The 20,902-nt window shown below is 37.6% G+C and overlaps 1 protein-coding gene and 1 pseudogene across 16 annotated transcripts in view; both read left to right on the top strand.

The window, feature by feature from the left end:
* CLOCK (clock circadian regulator) overlaps nt 1–20,902 on the top strand; it is a 119,007-nt gene that overhangs the window by 4,379 nt on the left and 93,726 nt on the right. The window contains exon 2 of one of the 16 annotated variants that reach the window (XM_047416435.1): nt 6,293–6,355. The exons of the other annotated variants lie outside the window; for them this stretch is intronic. The gene's annotated coding sequence lies outside the window, so the exon portion shown is untranslated. The remainder of the gene's footprint in view (nt 1–6,292; nt 6,356–20,902) is intronic. 16 annotated transcript variants of the gene reach the window in all.
* On the top strand, nt 1,696–2,029 carry RN7SKP30 (RN7SK pseudogene 30; annotated as a pseudogene).

Genomic DNA, 20,902 nt, shown 5'->3' with positions numbered 1-20,902 from the left:
GGAGTTTGCAAAAAGTTCAGAGTATTGATCAAGACTATTTACTATGGGAGATACCTAGAAAGATGCAGTATAATTGACCCTGCCTTCAGTGGTTTTGAAATCTAGTATGGTTAAAACAGCATAGACATTAATAATAATAATAATAATAATATTATTATTATTATTATTATTATTATTATTATTATTTGAGACAGAGTCTCTCTCTGTCACCCGGGCTGGAGTGCAGTGGCGTGATCTCAGCTCACTGCAACCTCCGCCTCCTTGGTTCAAGCGATTCTCCTGCCTTAGCCCTCCAAGAGTAGCTGGGATTACAGGTATCTGCCACCACACCCGGCTAATTTTTGTATTTTTAGTAGACAACGGTGTTTCTCCATGTTGGCCGGGCTGGTCTCAAACTGCTGACCTCAGGTGATCCGCCCACCTCGGCCTCCCAAAGTGCTGGGATTACAGGCATGAGCCACCATGCCCAACTGAAAAGCATAGACATTATAACACAAGGTGGAAAATGATAGATTTTATAAGAAAATTACATACAACATTTGTAAGGATGAGCCTATTTCTGGCTGTTTTTTTTTTTTTTGGTGGGGGGAGAGGCATGGGATTTTGAGGGAGAATACGTATCTTAACCTTTTAATTAGTTAAGAAAGGAAACTTAGATCTTAGCTCTTGATAACGTAAGGAGTTGTTATGTTCTTTTAGCAGGCATCTGTGAGACTGATAGCTATTTCAGTAGTTTTTTTTAAGCTTTCCCGCTGGAAAGAACCATTTGATGTTTTATTTGATAATTATAATACAGCCTCTTTAATCATTTCAGGATTGCTAGAAAAATTAGGAAATTAAATCCTATCAGTTAACTGTTGTCTACCATCAAATATGTCAGCCAGTGTTAATATTAAAAGAAAATTGTTTCCTCTTATCTCAATCTTGAAGCATATATATTATGTCACCTCTTCCACACATTTTTACTTCTAGTGCTGTGTCAAATAAAGCATTTATTTACTGTGACTATTTTAATAAAACAATATTGTGGGGGAAAAGTCAAAGTTCTGCACTGTAGCTAAACCTTTTGATGTTTATCTGTTTCCTTATAGTTTTTTACAGATGCATAAAGTAAAATATTTTTTAAGTTCCTTGTAGGCATTACACCAATGGCTGTTGCATTTTCTCCTTTTCTGGATCAAAAATTCTAGATGGAGTTGTATGAATTATTTATAGAACACTCAAGTGTCAGAGCAATATAATTGTTACTAATTGACTATAATTACATAATGGCATTTATATTTACAGGTTGCTTTACAACCATTTATTAAAAGCCCTATTAGGTGTAACTTCTGTGAAACAGGTGGATACCGAGATTCCTGTTTTTTTCCATTTTTTTGATTATGCAAATGTTGAATTATTTAAACTTACTCTTATAGCCTCAACTCTGAGTTATTACTTTAGTTGGATATTTCACAGAGATGTAATTCTGTTAATTTTAAGTCTTAGAAGTCTACAGAAATCACTTGTGAAAAATGAAATTTTATGAATTACTTTGTCTTTTAAAGTATGCTGTTTCGGATATAATTTGCTTTTCATTTTTCAGAAACATTTTCATTTTTTACATTAATAATGACGACGATTAAGTTTCTTTTTCAAAGAGGTCACATTCAGGTACTTAACATTTTTAATTCTCATCCCAAATAGTGGAAAATTGAATGTGAGGGCTATCTGGCTGTGACATGTTACCCCATTGATCCCCAGGGTTGATTCAGCTCATCTGGCTGGCTCGGCAGGTGTCCCCTTCCTCCCTCTCCACTCCACGTGCGTCCCTCCTGAAGCTGAAGCTGCGTGCTTGGTTGAAGAGGACAACCATCCCAAATAGAGGAGGACTGGTCTTGGGTCAAGGGTATACGAGCAGCTGCGCTCCCCTGCTAGAACCTTCGAGCAAGCTCTCAAGGTCCAAATAGTGGAAAATGAAAGTACAGGTTGATTCATGTTGGCAGGTTTTGGTATCAAAAAAAAATTAAAAAGCACACATGGGGGATATACCAATAAAGGTTAGACCATATGCCTAGCTAAGAACTTATCATTTGTATTAAAATATGGTTTAATGTAAAGAGTTGCCTTTCTCCATTCCCCCCTCCCCTCCCCTCCCCTCCTCTCCCCTCCTCTCTTGCCCCCAATTAAAAAATAGCACATCCCTAATGTGGGAAACAGTAAGAAAGCATAGATTACATTTTAGGCAGGGCACAGTGGCTCACACCTGTAATCCCAGCACTTTCGGAGGCTGAGGTGGGTGGATCACTTGAGGTCAGGAGTTTGAGACCAGCCTGGCCAACATGGTGAAACCCTGTCTCTACTAAAAGTACAAAAATTAGCCGGGCATGGTGGCGGGTGCCTGTAATCCCAGCTACTTGGGAGGCTAAGGCAGGAGAATTGCTTGAACCCAGGAGGCAGAGGTTGCAGTGAGCAGAGATCACGCCATTGCACTCCAGCCTGTGCGACAGATCAAGACTCAGTCTCAAAAAAAAAAAAAAAAAATTAATATCATTGGAGATCATACCACCGAAAGTGCTGTTGTTAATCTTCTTGATTATCTATCTGCTTCCTGCATTTTGTTGAGCCATTACATAAGTATATGTATACTTATATGATGTTATGGGCTCCTAATGTAGTCCACTGCAGTGCAAGCTGTTCAGTTAACAGTGAATCATCAACATATTTTCATGTCAGTATTTTTCTGCTATGTGATTATTTTTAGTAGGTATGTAACATTCTCATCTCTGTGTAATAATTTACTTATCAATCTTCTGTTGGACATTGAAGTTGTTTTCAATTTTTAGGATAATAATACTGTCACTTCCCTATATCATGCATTTTGATACTGGCCTACCTAGTATCAGTGATTTTTTCTATTTTTGTTTCTCTGAAAATATCTCAATTTCACCTTTTTTTTTTTTTTTTTTTTTTTTTTTTGAGACAAGGTCTCACTCTGGCACCCAGGCTGGAGTGTAGTGGTGTGAACATGGCTCACTGTAGCCTCAACCTTTTGGGCTCAGGCAATCCTTCACCTCAGCCTCCTCAGTAGCTGGAACCACAGGCACATGCCACCATGCCCAGCTAATTTTTAAATTTTTTGTATAGGCGGGGTCTTGTCATGTTGCCCCGGCTGTTCTTGAACTCCTGGGCTTAAGAGATCCCCCCACCTTGGCCTCCCAAAGTGCTGGGTATAGGTGTGAGCCACCATGCACGGCAGTTTCACCTTTTTTGAAGTGGTTTTTGGTGTTTTTTTTGTTGTTGTTGTTGTTGTTTTTTTGAGACAGTCTCGTTCTGTTGCTTAGGCTGGAGTGCAGTGGCGTGATCTGAGCTCACTGCAGCTTCTGCCTCCTGGGTTCAAATGATTCTCATGCCACAGCCTCCTGAGTAGCTGGGATTACAGGCATGTGCTACCATACCCAGCTAAATTTTTTGTATTTTTAGTAGAGATAGGATTTTGCCATGTTGGCCACGCAGGTCTCCAAACTCATGGCCTCAAGTGATCTGCCCACCTTGGCCTCCCAAAGTGCTAGGATTACAGGCATGAGCCACTGTGGCTGGCCTGAAGTGTGTTTTCACTGGCTATTAAGTTCTAAGTTGGTAGTTATTTTCTTTCAACACATTAAGAATGTTTGGTTGCTTTCTGTCTTCCTTTCTTTTTGTTGAAGTCAGCTACCAGTCTTATTGAAGGCAATGTATTAGCTATATTCTTGCTGAGGATAATGTGTCTTTTATTTTTCCTTGGCTAATTTTAAGACTCTCTGTGTTACTTTTAAAGCACTTTGATGTGTTCAGATGTGGTTTTCTTTGTTGCTTTATGTTTATAGAGTTTTTTGAATCTAGCTGGATGCCTTTTAGTTTTGGAAAGTTCTGTTACCACCTTTTCATATATTCTGCCCCTTTTTTCTTTTTGGATCCTAATTACACATATATTAAACTTAATTATCATGTTCCACATGTTGAAAAAAATTTTTTTCTCTGTTTGGATATTTTCTATCGACCTGCCTTCCAGTATGCCAAAACTATCTTCTCTTTTTGTCAAAATAATCTTTTGTGTTCTTAATTTTACATTGTGGTTTTGAGTTCTAGAGTATTCCTTTGATGTTGTTTTATAGACTTGTAATAGACTCCAGTTCTCTTGAACATACTAATTATAGTTATTTAAATGCTTGTCTTTTCCAATATCGGCATCATCTATTGGTCTGTTTATCTTGTTTGTTTTTCTGTTGGTTATTGGTCATATGGTTGTATTGTTCCGTCTCTTCACATGCCTGATAAGTTTTCGAAGGAACTTACCCATTTCATTTAACTTGTTGCATTTATTGCAAAAAGTTGCTTATAATACTCTATTATTGTTCTTTTAATATCTGTAGAAAGTGTAATGAGTCTAATATCTGTATAACCTGTAGAGATTTAGTATCATTCCGAATACTAGTAATTTGTCTCTGCTCCCCTTTTCCCTGATTAGTCTGGCTAGAAGTTTATTAATTTTATTGAGGTTCTTAAAAAGTTAACTTTTAGTTTAATTGACTGCCTGTGGTTTTCTTATTTCCGCCCTGGTCTTTATTTCCTTTCCTCAGCTTACTTTTGGGTTTAATTTGTTTTCTTTTTCTGGTTTCTTAAGATAGAAGCTGAGGTCATTGATTTGTGACCTTTTTTCTTTTCTAATGTAAGCATGCTATAAACTTCCCTTTAATTGTTTATAATTTATTTATTTGTTTTTTGAGACAAGGTCTCACTACTGCTCAGGCAGTACAGTATCGTGATCATGGCCCATTGCAGCCTTGACCTCTCAGGCTCAAGTGATCCTCCCACCTCAGCCTCCTGAGTAGCTGGGACTGCAGGCATGTGCCACCATGCCTGGCTAATTTTTTATTTTTATTTTTATTTTTTTGAGACTGGGTCTCACTCCGTTGCCTAGGCTTTAGTGCAGTGGCCCAATCACGGGGTCACCACAGTGTCGACGTCTCAGGCTCAAGAGATCCTCGCACCAGAGTCTATTAAGTGCTGGGATTACAGGCGCGTGCCATCATGCCTGGCTAATTTTTGTATTTTTTGTAGAGATAGGGTTTCACTATGTTGCCCAGGCTGGTCGTCAACTCCTGAGCTCAGGCAATCCACTTGCCTCAGCCTCCCAAAGTGCTAGGATTACAGGTGTAAGCCACCACACCTGGCCAGAGTTTATTACAATTTTTTCTGAAGACAAGGATGTCACTGTGTTGCCCATGTTGGTCTTGAACTCAGTTCAAGCAATCCTCTTTCCTTGGCCTCCTGGAGTGCTGGGATACAGATGTGAGCCTCCACTCCTGGCCGTTTCCAGTTTTTGATATGTTTCCATTTTCATTCCATTCAGAGTACTTTATAATTTCTTTCCTGATGTCTTACTGGGTCTATAGTTTATTTATAAGTGTGTTATATAGTTTTCAAATATTTGAGGATTTTCCAGAGATCATTGTTATTTTTAATTTAATTCCATTGTAATGAGATAATTTTAAATTTATTCGGATTTATTTTATGGCCTAGAATATATTCTATCATTGTAAGTGTTCTTCATGTGCAGTTGAAAAGAATGTGTGTTTTGTTGTTAGGTGGAGTGTTTTACAAATGTCAGTTAGGTCAAGTCTGTTGATTGTTTTGTTTATGTCTCATAATTTTTTATTGAATGCCAGGCATTGTGTAGTAAAAAACTTAAGTAAGCATTACCAGGTAATGGTACATTTTGCCGGGTTGGGAGAGGGGTGGGGGAAGGGGAAGTTCATTTTCTATGCAGATAGGCTAGGGAGCTGTATTAGTCTGTTTGCATTACTATAAAAGAATACGTGAGACTGGGTAATTTATAAAGAAAAGAAGCTTAATTGGCTTACGGTTCTCCAAAGTGTATAGGAAGCATGGTGCCGGCATCTGCTTATAGTGAGGCTTAGTAAGTTTCTAGTCATGGCTGAAAGTGAAGGGAGAGCAGGTGCATGACAAGGCAAGAGTGGGAGCAAGAGAGCAAGGTGGGGCAGGTCCCAGACTTTTCAACAACCAGATCTTGTGTGAACTCACTTATTACCGAGGAGATGGTACTAAACCATTCATGAGGGATCTGCCCCCATGATCCAGTTGCCTCCTACTGGGCCCAACTTCCAACATTGGGAATTACATTTACATTTCATCATGAGATTTGGAGGGGACAAGCATCCAACCCATATCAGGAGCCCATCATCTTAAATTATGTGGAGGCTGGGTTGCTATTTTAATAGTTTGCTATCCTTATTTTTCCTTGTTTTTTCAGATGTTGTCTTCTAAGGCATTCATTTCAAAGCCTATTGGTCTTGTCCCTTTAGCAATGCCAAAGGTAGGAAATTTCACTTTGCTTTTCAAAGTTTTTTAGTTGACTTTGTAGCCTTTTACCCTGCACGGTTTTAAAATTCAGCAAGTATGCTGAGGGGAGATACCACCTTTAAGCTTGAGGTCCTTGCGTGAAACTTTTTAGGAGAATTAGTCTCCTAGTGTTGTTATTCCAGCCCTGTGTGAACACCAAAAGCTGTCCTGGCTTCTGTGTTCCTCAGCAACAATATTTTACACAGGTCAGGCCTCAATTTTCAGCCTCTAACCCAAGCAATAATTAGGAAATACTCCCAGGGAAAAGACAGATACTGGTCATCTAAATACCTTTAAAATATTCTCCCCATCTCTGAGGTGGAGGTTGCAGTGAGCCAAGATTGTGCCACTGCACTCCAGCCTGGGTGACAGAGCAACAAGACTCCATCTCAAAAAAAAAAAAAAAAAAAGATTCTCCCATCACTGGAATTTTAGACCTTCTTTCCCATGCTTCCACAGCTCCTCACTAACTTTAAAAATATGATTTTTATAATTTATTTAGCTTTTTAAGTTGTTCTTAGCAAGAATATTGGCCTGCTTCAAACTAGTTCATTTTACCTAAGTGCAGACAATTTCCTATTATTATTATTATTGTCATTTATTTTTGCAGAGATAGGATGTGACTTTGTTGCCCAGGCTTGTCTTGAACTCCTGGGCTCAAGTGATCCTCCTGCTTTGACCTTCCAAATTATTAGGATTACAGGCATGAGCCACTCTAGCTGGCGCCTGTCATTTTTTAAAGGTATGCAGAATACTCAATATTTATGAGCTGTTTTATGTAGTGTTCTTTAGGTATTTTGTTGTTGGGTTTCAGTTTTTGATGTATATTTTTTAAAATTGATTTTTATTGGGGTATAATGTATATATGTTAAAATCTGCCCAATTTAAGTATGCAGCTTGAGTTTTGACAAACCTAAACATTCTTGTAATCACCATAATCAAGAAGCAAAAAAATTTTTTTTTATACTGATAAAGAGGTCTTTCTGTATTGACCAGGTTGGAGTGTAGTGGCAATATAGCGAGGCCTTTGGCTCTCCAAAAAAATAGAAAAAAATTAGCCAGACATGGTGGCATGCACTTGTGATCCCACCTACTCAGGAGGCTGAGATGGGAGGATTGCTTGAGCCCAGGAGGTTGAGGTTGCAGTGAGCCATTGACTGTGCTGCTGGACTCAGCTTGGATGACAGAGCAAGACTGTCTCAAAAAAAAAAAAAAAAAAATTCTCACTTTATACAGAAAAGGCTGCTGAGATTTTGTTTAGGGTTGTATTTACTCTATAGATTAATTTAAAGAAAACTGATAGCAACATTGAGTCCTTTGATCCTTGAACACAGTATACCTCTCCATTCATTTAGGCCTTTCATTTTTCTCAGTAGTGCTTTGAAGTCTTTTAGTATACCTTTAATGGTGGTCTTCATCTTGTTCATTCAGCAAGTATTTATTGAGCATTCTGTTCTGTGCCAGCTACTATTCTGTCTGCTGGGGAACAAAGCCCTGCCTTCAGGGAGCTTATGTTCTAACTGAGGAAACCAGATGAGAAACTAGTGAGTTAAATATATGCTAGATGGATATTTGTATTGTAGAGAAAACCAAATCAAGGTGTAGGGGATTAGAGTCTATTAGCATGTGAGGATAGAATGGATATCTTAGTTTTGGCTGCTATAACAAAAATACCCAGGAGTATTAGATTCTGCAGTACAACAGCACATAGACTGTGTGCTGTTGAATTTGGTTTGCTAGTATTTTTTTAAGGGTAAAAAAATCAGTATTCATTAGGTTTATTGCTGTAGCTTTCTTTTTTTGTGGTATCTTTGTCTGATTTTGATATCAGGGTAATGCTGGCCTTTTAGAATGAGTTTGGAAATGTTCTCTCACATTTAGTTCTTTGGAAGAGTTTGAGGAGGATTGGCTTGGTGATAGTTGAGAGTAGAATAAGCACTCGTTTCAAGTTTGGTATTGTTGCACTGATGCTCCACTTGACTCGCTGCATATTACAACTGTAATTATTAATTACTTCAGTGCTGTTAATCATAGGGTAGTACAAGCTAGATTAAATGGCAAACAAATGTACAAAACATTTTATTACTATTGGGTTCTTTATACATTAATGTTTTAAGACACAGGCAAAAAGGAAAACATCGAGAGTTTACTGAAAAGCAAAAGTTTTGTAGTGTGTCTTGAATTTAGTAAACAAGTGTCCACTCTCCTGCATCTTAAACAAGCACTTTGTTTTTGTTTTATTTTTTTGAGATGGAGTCTCACTCTGTTGCCCAGGCTGGAGTGTAGTGGCATGATCTTGGATTACTGCAACCTCTGCCTCCCAGGTTCAAGCTGTTCTCCTGCCTCAGCCTCCCGAGTAGCTGGGATTACAGGCGTGTGCCACCATGCCTGGCTAATTTTTGTGCTATTAGTAGAGATGGGATTTCACCATGTTGGCCAAGCTGGTCTCAAACTCTTGACCTCAGGTGATCCACCTGCCTTGGCCTCCCAAAGTGCTGAGATTACAGGCACGAGCCACCATGCCTGGCCTTAAGCACTTTTTCACGGATTTACAAACAATCCCAAAAATCTTTAGTCAGTGATATGGTTTGAATTACTTTCTAGGCAGAAAAATATTCTAATATGTATCTAAAATACTTAATTAAAAAGTGTTGAAAAAATATTCGGAAATCAAAACTTTTAGGTCATCATAAAATAAATTAGTAATATCATATTTTGGCTTCATTCTTTGGCATGTGGATATTCAGTTTTCCCAACACTGTTTGTTGTAGAGACTGTTTTTTCTCCATTGGGTAGTCTTGGCACCCTTGTCGCAAGTCATTTGGTGGCATGTGCGAGCGTTTATTTCTGTTCTGTTCCATTGGTCTGTAGCTCTGTATTTATGTCAGTACCACACTGTCTTGATTACTGTTGCTTTGTAGTGTGTTTTGAAATAAGAAAGTATGAGGCCTCCAAATTTTTGGTGGTTTTTCAAGACTGGTTTGGCTACTTGGGGGTCCCTTGAGATTCTGTATGAATTTTAGGATGGTTTTGTTTCTATTTCTGCAAAAAAAATGTCATTGAGAATTTGACAGGGATTACATTGAATCTATAGATTGCTTTAGGTAGTATGGACATTTTAACAGTATTAACTCTTTCAGTTTAAAAACACGGAATGTTTTTCCATTTATTTGTATTCTCTCTTTGATTTCTTTTAGCGATGTTTTGTAGTTTTCAGAGTACAAGTCTTTTATCTCCTTGGTTAAGTTTATTCCTAGTATTTTTATCCACACTACCCCCCCGACCCGACCCCTTTTCTTTGTTTAAAGAGATAGGGTCTCTGTCACCTAGGCTGGAGTGCAGTGGCACAATCATGGCTCACTGTGACCTTGAACTCCTGGGCTCAAATGATCCTCCTACCTCAGCCTCCCAAGAAGCTGGGACTAAAAGTATATGCTTCCACGCTCGGCTAATTTTTTGGTATTTTTATAGAGAGATAAGGTCTCAAATTCCTGGCTTCAAGCAGTTCTCCCACCTTGGCCTCCCAAAGTGCTAGGATTACAGGTTTGAGCCACCATGGTTTGCCTTTCCTCTTTTGATACTATAGTAAATTGGGATTTTTTTTTTTAAATTTTCCTTTCCAGTTGGTCATTTTTGGTGTATAGAAATGCAACTGATTTTTGTGTGTTGATTTCGGATCCTGAAACTTTGCTGAAATCATGTATTAGTACTAACAGTTTTTTTGTGGATTCTTCTTTAGGGCTTTCTGCATATAAATCATGTCATCTGTATACAGAGATAATTTTCTTTCTTATTTGAGTGCCTTCTATTTATTCTTCTTGCCTAATTGCTCTATCTAGGACTTCTGGTACTGTGTTGAATAGAAGTGATGAGAGTGGGCATCCTCGACTTGCTCCTAATCCTAGGAGAAGTGTTCAGTCTTTTACCATTGAATAGGATGTTAGCTGTGGGATATTCATATATGGTGTTTATTATGTCGAGGTAGTTTCCTTCTATTCTTCATTTATTGAGTGTTTTTATCATGGAAGGGTGTTGAATTTTGTCAAATGCATTTGTTCGTCAATTGGAATCATGTGGTTTTTGTGCTTCATTTTATTAATGTGGTATATTACCCTAATTGATTTTTGTATTGTGAACCATCCTTGAATTTCTGGTATAAATCCCACTTGGTCATGGTATATAATCCTTTTAATGTGCTGTTGAATTTGGTTTGCTGGGGTTTTTTTTGTTTTTGTTTTTGTTTTTTTTAACATTTAAAAAATCACTATTCATTATGGTTATTACCGTGGTTTTCTTTTCTTGTGGTATCTTTGTCTGGTTTTTATATCAGGGTAATGGCGGCTTTTTAGAATGAGTTTGGAAATGTTCTCTCCCATTTTAGTTCTTTGGAAGAGTTTGAGGAGGATTGGGTTAATTCCTTTTTTTTTTTTTTTTTTTTTTTTTTTTGAGACGAAGTCTTGCTCTGTCGCCAGGCTGGAATACAGTGGCGTGATCTCGACTCACTACAACCTCTGCCTCCTGGGTTCAAGCGATTCTCCTGCCTCAGCTTCCAGAGTAGCTGGGACTATAGGCGCATACCACCACGCCCAGCTAATTGATGTAGTTTTCGTAGAGACGGGGTTTCACCATGTTGGCCAGGATGGTCTCGATCTCTTGACCTTGTGATCCACCCTTCTCGGCCTCCCAAAATGCTGGGATTACAGATATGAGCCACCACGCCTGGCCTGGTTAATTCTTTTAAATGATTGATAGAATTCTCCAGTAAAGCCTCCTAGGCTTTTGTTGTTGTTGTTGAGATCTGCTTTTATTTCTTGATTTACTAACTTCAAATTATATCTATTGACTCACTGCTAAGAAAGATGAGGATTTAGCTCACTTACACTTTACTTAATTATAGTGCTGGGGCTATTTTTTTTTTCTATGGGTCTAAAGTCATAATGCTAGTGGAACTCAAGAAATAAAATATTTACTTATTTCTTCTTGTACTTCATCATTTTTTCGAAATCATGCCGCTAGATTGCTTTATATTCTAGATGACTTTTTGTTCATCTTTTCCTCCCACAGTTTGTAATTGTCTTTTTTTCTTTAGAGAAATATATACCTTTATCATATTCTCAGATGTTTTTCCTGCTTGGATCATAATATCTATTAACTGTTAGGTGGAATGCCTTTTCCTGGAGATATCACTCTTAGAGCCCTCCTACTTCCTGCTTCAGTCTTGACAGGTTGGAAGCTGCTGTGTATATGTCATTCTGAGCTATTCCGTGTCTGCATTTCTGGTTAGATTTACTGTTTCTTAGATGCGACATCTTCCTCTTTTATAGCATTCTTCCTTTTTTAGCTGGAATGTATTTACTCTTTTTTTTTTTTTTTTTGCGATGGAGTCTTGCTCTTTTTCCCAGGCTGGAGTGCAGGGGCACAATCTCGGCTCACTGCAACCTCCACCTCCTGGGTTCAGCTGATTCTTCTGCTTCAACCTCCGCAGTAGATGGGATTACAGGCGTTTGCCACCATGCCTTGCTAATTTTTGTATTTTTAATAGAGACAGGGTTTCACCATGTTAGCCAGGTTGGTCTTAAACACCTTATCTCAAGTGATCCACCCTCCTCGGCCTCCCAAAGTGCTGGGATTATATGCATGAGCCACTGCATCCTGCTTTGAATGTATTTTAAATTAACTCCAGTATACAGAGTACTTACAATGTAAATATTGTGAATTCTTGCATGTTTGAAAATAGCTTTGGCCTGGGTCATAATTGCTTGATAGTTTGGCTGGGTGTAGAAATTTAAATTCAAATTAATTCTCTCTTACAACTTAGAGGTTTTTGCTCAATTCTGTTGAGCATCAAGACGGTAAGATGTCTGATGCTATTCTGTCTTGTTATTTTCTAAATGATCCTTTCCCTCGCTCACAAAGATAAGCTTTAGTATCTTATCTTTGTCCTTCGTAGTTATGGAATTTTATAATTATGTGTTTAGATATGAATTGTTTTTGTTATTCTTTGCTGGACTCAGTAGGTCCTTTCAGTTGAAATGCAAGTGTCTCCCTTCAGTTATGGAAAATGTTCTTTTATTATTTCCTTGGTAATATTTCTTAGTCTATGTTTGCCCATTTTGGGATACTTACTAGCAGAATATTGGCTTTCTTGATTGATCCTCATTTCTTTATCTCTTTTCTCAAGTTTTCTGTCTTTTTTATTCTGTATTTTGACAGATGTTTTCAATTGTATGTTTCTGACCTGCGAATGTTTATAAATTGTTAATGAGTAGCTTTTGCTTATTTTCTGCTGGTATCATTTCAAGAGACAACACAGGATAGTAGCTAAAAGCATTGACAATGGAACCAGACTTCCTGACTGTGTGGGTTTAGATCACAGCTCCACAACTTCAAAACCATGACAATGGGCAAATGATTAATCTCTTTGTCCTCAGTTTCTAGTCTACAAAATGAGGATAATAATACCTACCTTGTGAGTAAAGGAGTTCATATTTATTAAGCATTTGTAACAGTTCTTGGCATAGTGGACTCTTGTATTATTATTTGTTAAATATACCTATTTTTGTTTAATTGAATGCGGTATCTTCAGTAGTCCTTTGAGAATACTTTGTTCTATTTTGAGATTTCTTCTATGTCCTGAATAAACTATGATTTTTTTGAAGTCAGTTTGATCTATTTATTTGTCTTGGTCTGGGTGGGACATAGTGGCTCATGCCTTTAATAACAGTACTTTGGGAGGCTAAGGTGGGAGGATTGCTTGAAGCTAGGAGTTTGAGACTAGCCTAGGCAACATAATGAGACCCCATCTCTACAAGAAAATTAAAATATTAGTTGAGCATGGTCATGCATGTCTATAGTCCTAGCTACTTGGGAGGCTGAGGCAGGAAGATCACTTGAGCTCAGGAGTTCGAGGCTGTAGTGAGCTATGATTGTGTCACTGCACTCCTGCCTGGGCAACAAAGTAAGACTGTCTCTTTTAAAAACTAAAAAAATAGATAATATCTTTATCTTGGTCTTTTTCTAGGTGGTGTTTCTTCTTGTATATCTGGGGATCCTTATTGTTAGTTCATGGTTCTTGCTAAAGGACCATCTTGATTATATTAGGTACTGCTGTTGGTTTCCTGGATTGTAGTCATGGACTTGTTTTCTAATTGCCATCTTGGAATGAGAAGACTGGCAACTCTTTGTACATAGTTGGAGCATCTCTTGTTTGCTGGCAAGTTAGGTTTAGGGCAAAAGATCAGGGAACCTGTTTTTAGGCTTCGGAGCTTTCCAATTGCCATATAGAAATGGGCTCTACAGATACTGACATTGACACCAGAAGACCCAGTTTCTTTCTGTTCAGTTTGTTAACTGTCTTTAGGAAAAAAAGAGTATTTCACTTTTTGTACCTACAGGTGACACTGGCCCTTGCTTAGTCATTGAGGGGAGCGTAGAATCTCTGAAAGATTGACTTAGACCTCCACTGTAGTCCTTTCATGTGTAGATTTTGGGCTGTGCTTCGCTTAGTTCTGTTTAAACTTAACACACTTGGGTCTGCTTTCTGTTCTCCAGAAATCTATTGTAAACACTTTCTCTCTGTTCTTTTCATTGTCTTATAGATTTATTCTTTTTTGTTTGTTTTTATGTGCTCATCTGCACAGACTTTCTGCATGGAGGGGCGGCAAACATGAGTGTTTATCACCATCATCATCTCATTCACTCCCCAGGTTTCTTTAAAATAAGGCAGTGAGGGGGGGATGAAGGAAATAGTCACTTCACCCTTAAATACTTCAATATATTTAATTAATTAATTTTTTTTTTTTTGAGGTGGAGTTCTGCTCTTGTTTCCCAGGCTGGAGAGCAATGGCATGATCTCGGCTCACTGCAACCTCTGCCTCCTGGGTTCAAGTGATTCTCCTGCCTCAGCCTCCCAAGTAGCTGGGATTACAGGCATGCACCACCAGGCCTGGCTAATTTTGTATTTTTAGTAGAGATGGAGTTTCACTCTATTGGTCAGGCTGGTCTTGAACTCCTGACCACCCACCTCAGCCTCCCAAAGTGCTGGGATTACAGGCGTTAGCCACTGCCCTTGGCCTCAATATATTTATTTTAAAACATAGGATTTTTTTTTTTTTTTGAGAGACAGGGTCTTGCTGTGTTGCTCAGGCTGAAGTGCAGTAGCCCAATTATAGCTCACTGCAGCCTTGAACTCCTAGGCTAAAGTGGTCTTCCAAAAGTACTGAGATAATAGGCATGTGCCACTATGCCCAGCTAATTTTTTAAATTTTATGGTAGAGATGAGATCTCGCTATGTTGCCAAGGCTGTTCTCCATTTCCTGGCCTCAACTGATCCTCTCACTTAGGCCTCCCAAAGTGCTGGGATTACAGGTATGAGCCACCACACCCAGCTGATATTTTCTTTCATAATCTCGGTATCATTACCACACCTAACAAAATTAACGATACTTCCTTAATATCATAAAACACCTAGTTCATATTCAGCTTTTTCAAAAATGCCTTTTTGTTGCTTTATTTGTATCAGGATTTGAATCAGGTACATACCTCCCAGTTATGTTTTTTTAGTCTTTTAAAATTTTTATTTTATTTTCTCATTTTCAGTCATGCCTATATAATGATTGAATCTTTTTTTAAAAAAGGTATTATTTGGGAGAGGAATGACATCAGTTTGTAGATCACCTTTGATAGAAAATATATGGGCAAGCTATGTGTTGTATAGTTTTGTTCTCTCTAATATCCTAAGAAAGCAAAATGTGCCCCAAACATGCTTTTGTTTTTACAGGATGTTTTAAACATATACAACAGTATATAGAATAGTAAAATGAACTCCTATGTACCCATCACCTACTTTTAGTGATTTATTTACTCAACAACTCTCGTTTCATCTATATCTTAATCTCCTTACCCTCTTCTAATACTATTTTGAAGTATATTCCACATATTATTTATCTGTTAATATTTTAAAGTATATTTCTAAATATGATTACCGCAGTAAAGTCTTTTTACCCTCCATGTTGAAGTAACTGGGTCAATTTTTCTTTATAACGTTTCACATTCTGCATTTTCTTATTCCTTTTGATGTCATTTTACTTATTACTTTCTTGTATTCATGTAACTGGAAATTGGATGTGAAGCAGTGTTTCTAACCTTTTTTTTTTTAATTGTTGCCTCATTACGGAGTTTTTAGAGCTTTTTTTTTTTTTTTTGAGACGGAGTCTCACTCTGTCACCCGGGCTGGAGTGCAGTGGTGTGATCTCGGCTCACTGCAAGCTCCGCCTCCCGGGTTCATGCCATTCTCTTGCCTCAGCCTCCCGAGTAGCTGGGACTACAGGTGCCTGCCACTTTGCCCGGCTAATTTTTGTATTTTTAGTAGAGACAGGGTTTCACCGTGTTAGCCAGGATGGTCTGGATCTCCTGACCTCGTGAACTGACCACCTCGACCTCCCAAAGTGCTGGGATTACAGGCGTGAGCCACCGTGCCCGGCCTAGAGCTTTTTTTTTCCTTACTGTCTACACTGCACCTTTTCCCCAGACCTGGGGGCAGACACAGTAGTATGATTTGGAGGATGAGAAACTGTCTTAATTTACTGTTTAAGATTTCTTTGCCTTCTTGAATGTGACATTGCTACTGTTGAGAATGTATGATCTAAAGGTTCATAGATTCTAGTTTGACTCTTAACAAGAATATTCTGTAAGTAGTACTATTACTACATGTTATATCATGATATGTGGTTGTCCCAGTGTTAAAGATGTTAAGATTGATCAGTGAATTCAGTTGGTGACAATATGATCCATTGTGAAATTTACCATTACTTTTTCTCCTGATGGGGTTTTTAGGATTGATGATTTTTGCCTATTTATGTCATTTCTTTTGTTCTTCTTAGTTGAAATTTTTCTTTAAAGGAGTAGCTTTCAGTACTTTGGTCCCTTTGCCTACCTTGAAATACAGTTTGACAGGCCAGTCAAGGAAAATGCTTTGTAAATTTCCTGTTACAGGTTGAATATCTCTTATCTGAAATGCTTGGGATTAGAAGCGTTTCGGATTTCGTATTTTTTCAGATTGTGGAATATTTATAGTATACTTTTCAGTTGAGTATCCCGAAAATCTGAAATCTGAAATGCTCCTTTGAGTGTCATGTCATTGCTCAAAAAGTTTCATATTTTGGAGCATTTCAGATTCTGGATTTTTGTATTAGGGATACTCAACCTATAGTTAAACATTTTCGTATTAACCCTTGGCATACCATCAGTACACACTGGAATTTTTTTTTTTTTTTTTGAGCAGTTCTAACTATGGAAGGACTAATAATTTCTTGACTCATTTTTTCTTAAAGGCCTTTGAAAGTAGAAAGGTAACATATACTTTAAAAAATTTTTTTATTTGGCCAGGTGTGGTGGCTCATGCTTGTAATTCCAGCACTTTGGGAGGCCGAGGCGGGTGGATCACTTTAGGCCAAGAGTTCGAGACCAGCCTGGCCAACATGGTGAAACCCCGTGTCTACTAAAAATACAAAAAATTAGCTGGGCATGGTGGTGGACACCTGTAATCAGCTACTCGAGAGGCGGAGGTTGCAGTGAGCCAAGATTGTGCCATTGCACTCCAGCCTGGGCAACAAGAGTGAAACTCTGTCTCAAAAAAAAAATGTTTATTATTCATTTATTTTATTTTATTTTTTTAGAGACAAGGTCTTGCTCTGTTACCCAGGCTGGAGTGCAGTGGTGTGATCATAGCTTATCATAATTACCAATTCCTGGGCTCACGTGATCTTCTTGCCTCAGACTTCTGAGTAGCTAGAACTGTAGGCGTGTGCCACCATGTCTGGCTGCTTTTCTTTTTAAAAATTTTTTCTAAAGAACAGGGTATGTGGCCTAAGCTGGTCTCGAACTCCCAACCTCAAGTGATCCTCCCATGTTGTCCTTTCAAAGGGCTGTGATTACAGACATGAACCACTGTGCACAGCCAAAATTTTCTTTTTAAAAACTGAATAAAACTCATTCTATCTTTCATTGGTTATATTCCTGTAGCTTTAAGGATTGTGATTTCATCATTCTAAGACTTGTTTCATTACTAAGATTTGTTTCATTTCATTCATAACAAATTACTCATCAATTATTTCTGTCCCTCCTAAAAGATAATATGAAAATGGAAAAATGATGGAATCACCTAGGAGAGTGATAGAATATGGAAATAAATTGTCACTATTGTATTTTTTTTTTTAAGATTTTTGCATTTCCCAAAGTATTACATCATCTTTCTGGAAGTTATAAGTCTGGAGATATCATCATTGTAGGCCGCTTTCAGCTTTCATTAGAAACAGTTGAGAATTTAGAAATTTTCATTTCTGCTCATTATGGCAAAGAGGAAAAATTACAGAAAGATGTTTCACATCTCTTTGACAAACCAGCACATAAATGCAAAAAGAAAAATAAATGCACCTCAGGCTTTATTCAATAGAAATTTCATGTGAATCACTGGACCATCATTGTCCAATAGAAATTTTATGTGAACCACAAATGTAAGTAGTAGGTATAATTTAAAATAAAAAAGTAAAACTAGGTCAAATGAATTAAGCAAAATCTCAGGCTGCACTTATTCATATAATAGGTGAATTTTCTCAAACTCAGAAATCAATGCATGAAGAATTATATTTCTGAGTGTAAAAATATAAATATAGTTATTCTTGTCTAGTCAGTCATTTAATAGGTATTAATATTTTCTTTTTTCTTTTTTTTTGTTTTTGTTTTTGTTTTTTTGAGACAGAGTCTCACTCTGTTGCCCAGGCTGGAGTGCAGTGGTGTGATCTCCGCTCACTGCAATCTCAGCCTCCCAGGCTCAAGCAATTCTGCCTCAGCCTCCTGAGTAGCTGGGATTACAGGCTGGTGCCACCATGCTCAGCTAATTTTTTTTGTGTGTGTGTGTATTTTTAGTAGAGACGGGTTTTGCTGTGTTGGCCAGGCTGGTCTTCAAACTCCTGGCCTCAAGTGATCCGCCCGCCTCAGCCTCCCAAAGTACTGGGATTACAAACATCAGCTGCTATGCCCGGCCGGGTATGAATATTTTCTGATGAGCCTTACACCATCCTGTTTTGCTAAAATGATGTGTTCTTACGTCTTTTATGGTGTCTGCATGCCAAAATTTACTGGATAACAATTTGTAATGCTAAAGACATGTAACAAAGGTGACTGGAAGGAAATAGATTATTTAAAAAGAAAAAAGTTGTTGGATTGCTCATTTTAATTGATGCTTAAAAACAAGAATGTTTTACAGTTTTGGAGCAAAAAAAGATGGTATCCACTCTTCAATAAAATTATAAGCCATCAAAGGTTTCAAAAACTTCTTCAATTTTTTTTATGATGAAATTGCAAGAAGAGTAGAAATATTGATAAGCTGATATGAAATTAGAGGTATGTATTAGAAATCTGGAGAAGTATTAGAAATATATTTGAAATGTATGTGGAGATGTATCTGGAGAGGTATTAGAGATGTATATGAAACCTGGAAGCAGTACAGGATGATTATGTTCCAGATTCGTGCATGGATGATCAGCCAGTTGCATTCAGAGGACATTACCCATGTCATGTAGATACACTTTCAAAGCCTCAAAAAATGGAATAAAAATTTGGTTGTGATATGTTTAATTTTTCAGTGTCAATTTTTTTTATTATCCCTTTATTCTCGTATAAATAATTCATAAGATGACTTGAAAATATAAAGGGTCCATTGGACCAAGAAGGTGTAAATAGTGATGACTGTTCTGTACCCTGAGGGTTGACTTGATACTCTAGCTACTCTTTGGTCACAAGTGAGAGTTCTACATTTGTCCGTTTGTCTGGTTTTGTTTGTTTGTTTGTTTTTGACAGAGTCTGGGTCTGTCTCCCAGGCTGGAGTACAGTGGTGCCATCTCGCTCACTGCAAGCTCCGCCTCCCAGATTCATGCCATTCTCCTGCCTCAGCCTCCCAAGTAGCTGGGACTACAGGTGCCCACCACCATGCCTAGCTAATTTTTTTTTTTTAATTTTTAGTAGAGACGGGGTTTCACCGTGTTAGCCAGGATGGTCTCGATCTCCTGACCTCGCGATCCGCCCGCCTCCATCTCCCAAAGTGCTGGGATTACAGGCATGAGCCACTGCGCCCAGCCTGTTCGTTTGTCTTATGCTAAACAATACACATTATATGTTACTGTGCCTCACAATTTCTTTTTATTCAACCTGGCCTGTCTCTGGCCAGTAGGAGCCCCTTCAGATTTGCTTCTAAATCTTTTTTATATGACCATATTAGGTTTTGATAGCTTCCTTGCTTTCAAGCTTAGAGTTAGTCATTTTATATGGTTCAGAAGTAAATGAGTGTGTGTATTTGTGTGTGTACATGTGCATGTTTGTATGTTGTATATGGAGATGCATACATATATATGAGAGAGGGAAAGTGTGCATTTACAAATACATACATATATATGGTGGAAAGAGTATAGATGTGGCAAATTGTTAACAGTTGATGAATCTAGGTTAAGAATATATGGCTGTTAATCTTACTGTTCCTTAAGGGGTAGGATACCTGTTTAAGTTACCTATTTTTCCAACTACTTATTCTGTTCATAAAGTTTAGCATGTTTTCTTATGTTTATTCGTTCTTTATGCTTCTTTTTTTTTTAAAAAAAAACAGTTTATTACTGGTTGGCATCTTTTGTTTATCTTTTTTTCTTACTGATATGTAGTATCTTGTTACGAACTTTGGATACTAATCTTCTGTGGTATATTTTCTCAGTCCGTGGTTTGTCTTTTCATTTGTTTATGGGATATTTTGGTAATTAGAAAAATTAAAAATTTAAATTAAATTAGACTTCAGATTTGAATTAGAATGAAGCCAAATATATTATTTTTTTTCTTTAAAGTTTGTGCTTGGCTTGTTTTCCTTTAAGGTTTATGATAGTTTAAGAAAGTTATTTTCTCCTCTATAGATATGAAGGTATTGTGTGTTTTCTTCTAAAAATTGATATGTTTTGCCTTCATATTTGGGTCTGAAGCACTTGGAATTTATGTTTACGTGTGGTAAGAAAGAAATCCGGTATAACTTTTTGCCCTATTTGGGTACCTGTTGTCTCTACCATTAATGGATAGTCCATTCTTTCCCTCTTTGTTTATAATGCTGCCTTTTTAATATACATATGACTCTATTTGTGATCTCTCTATCTCTGTTTTGAAAGACCCATATTATAAGGCTTGATTATTTGTAGGACTGCTCTCTCCATTTTCTTCTTCAAATTATTGTAGCTATTCTTAGCCTTTTGCTCTTCCACATAAATACTAAGATCAGTTTGTCTAGTTACATACACACTCATATATGCATACCATATGGACACAAATCAATATAAGATATTAGTAAAAATTGCATAGCATCCATAGATGTATTTAGAGAGAATTCAGAGGTGAGGAAACTGAAATTCAAGCAAAGTGAATAATTTGCTCAAGTATGTCTGAGTCTGAGGCCCATTTCTTTCCTTTGCATATTTGTGAAGGCCAATAATTC

Source organism: Homo sapiens, chromosome 4 (assembly GCF_000001405.40).
Source record: "Homo sapiens chromosome 4, GRCh38.p14 Primary Assembly".
Lineage (NCBI taxonomy): Eukaryota > Metazoa > Chordata > Mammalia > Primates > Hominidae > Homo > Homo sapiens.
This window is presented reverse-complemented; position numbering and strand designations above follow the sequence as displayed.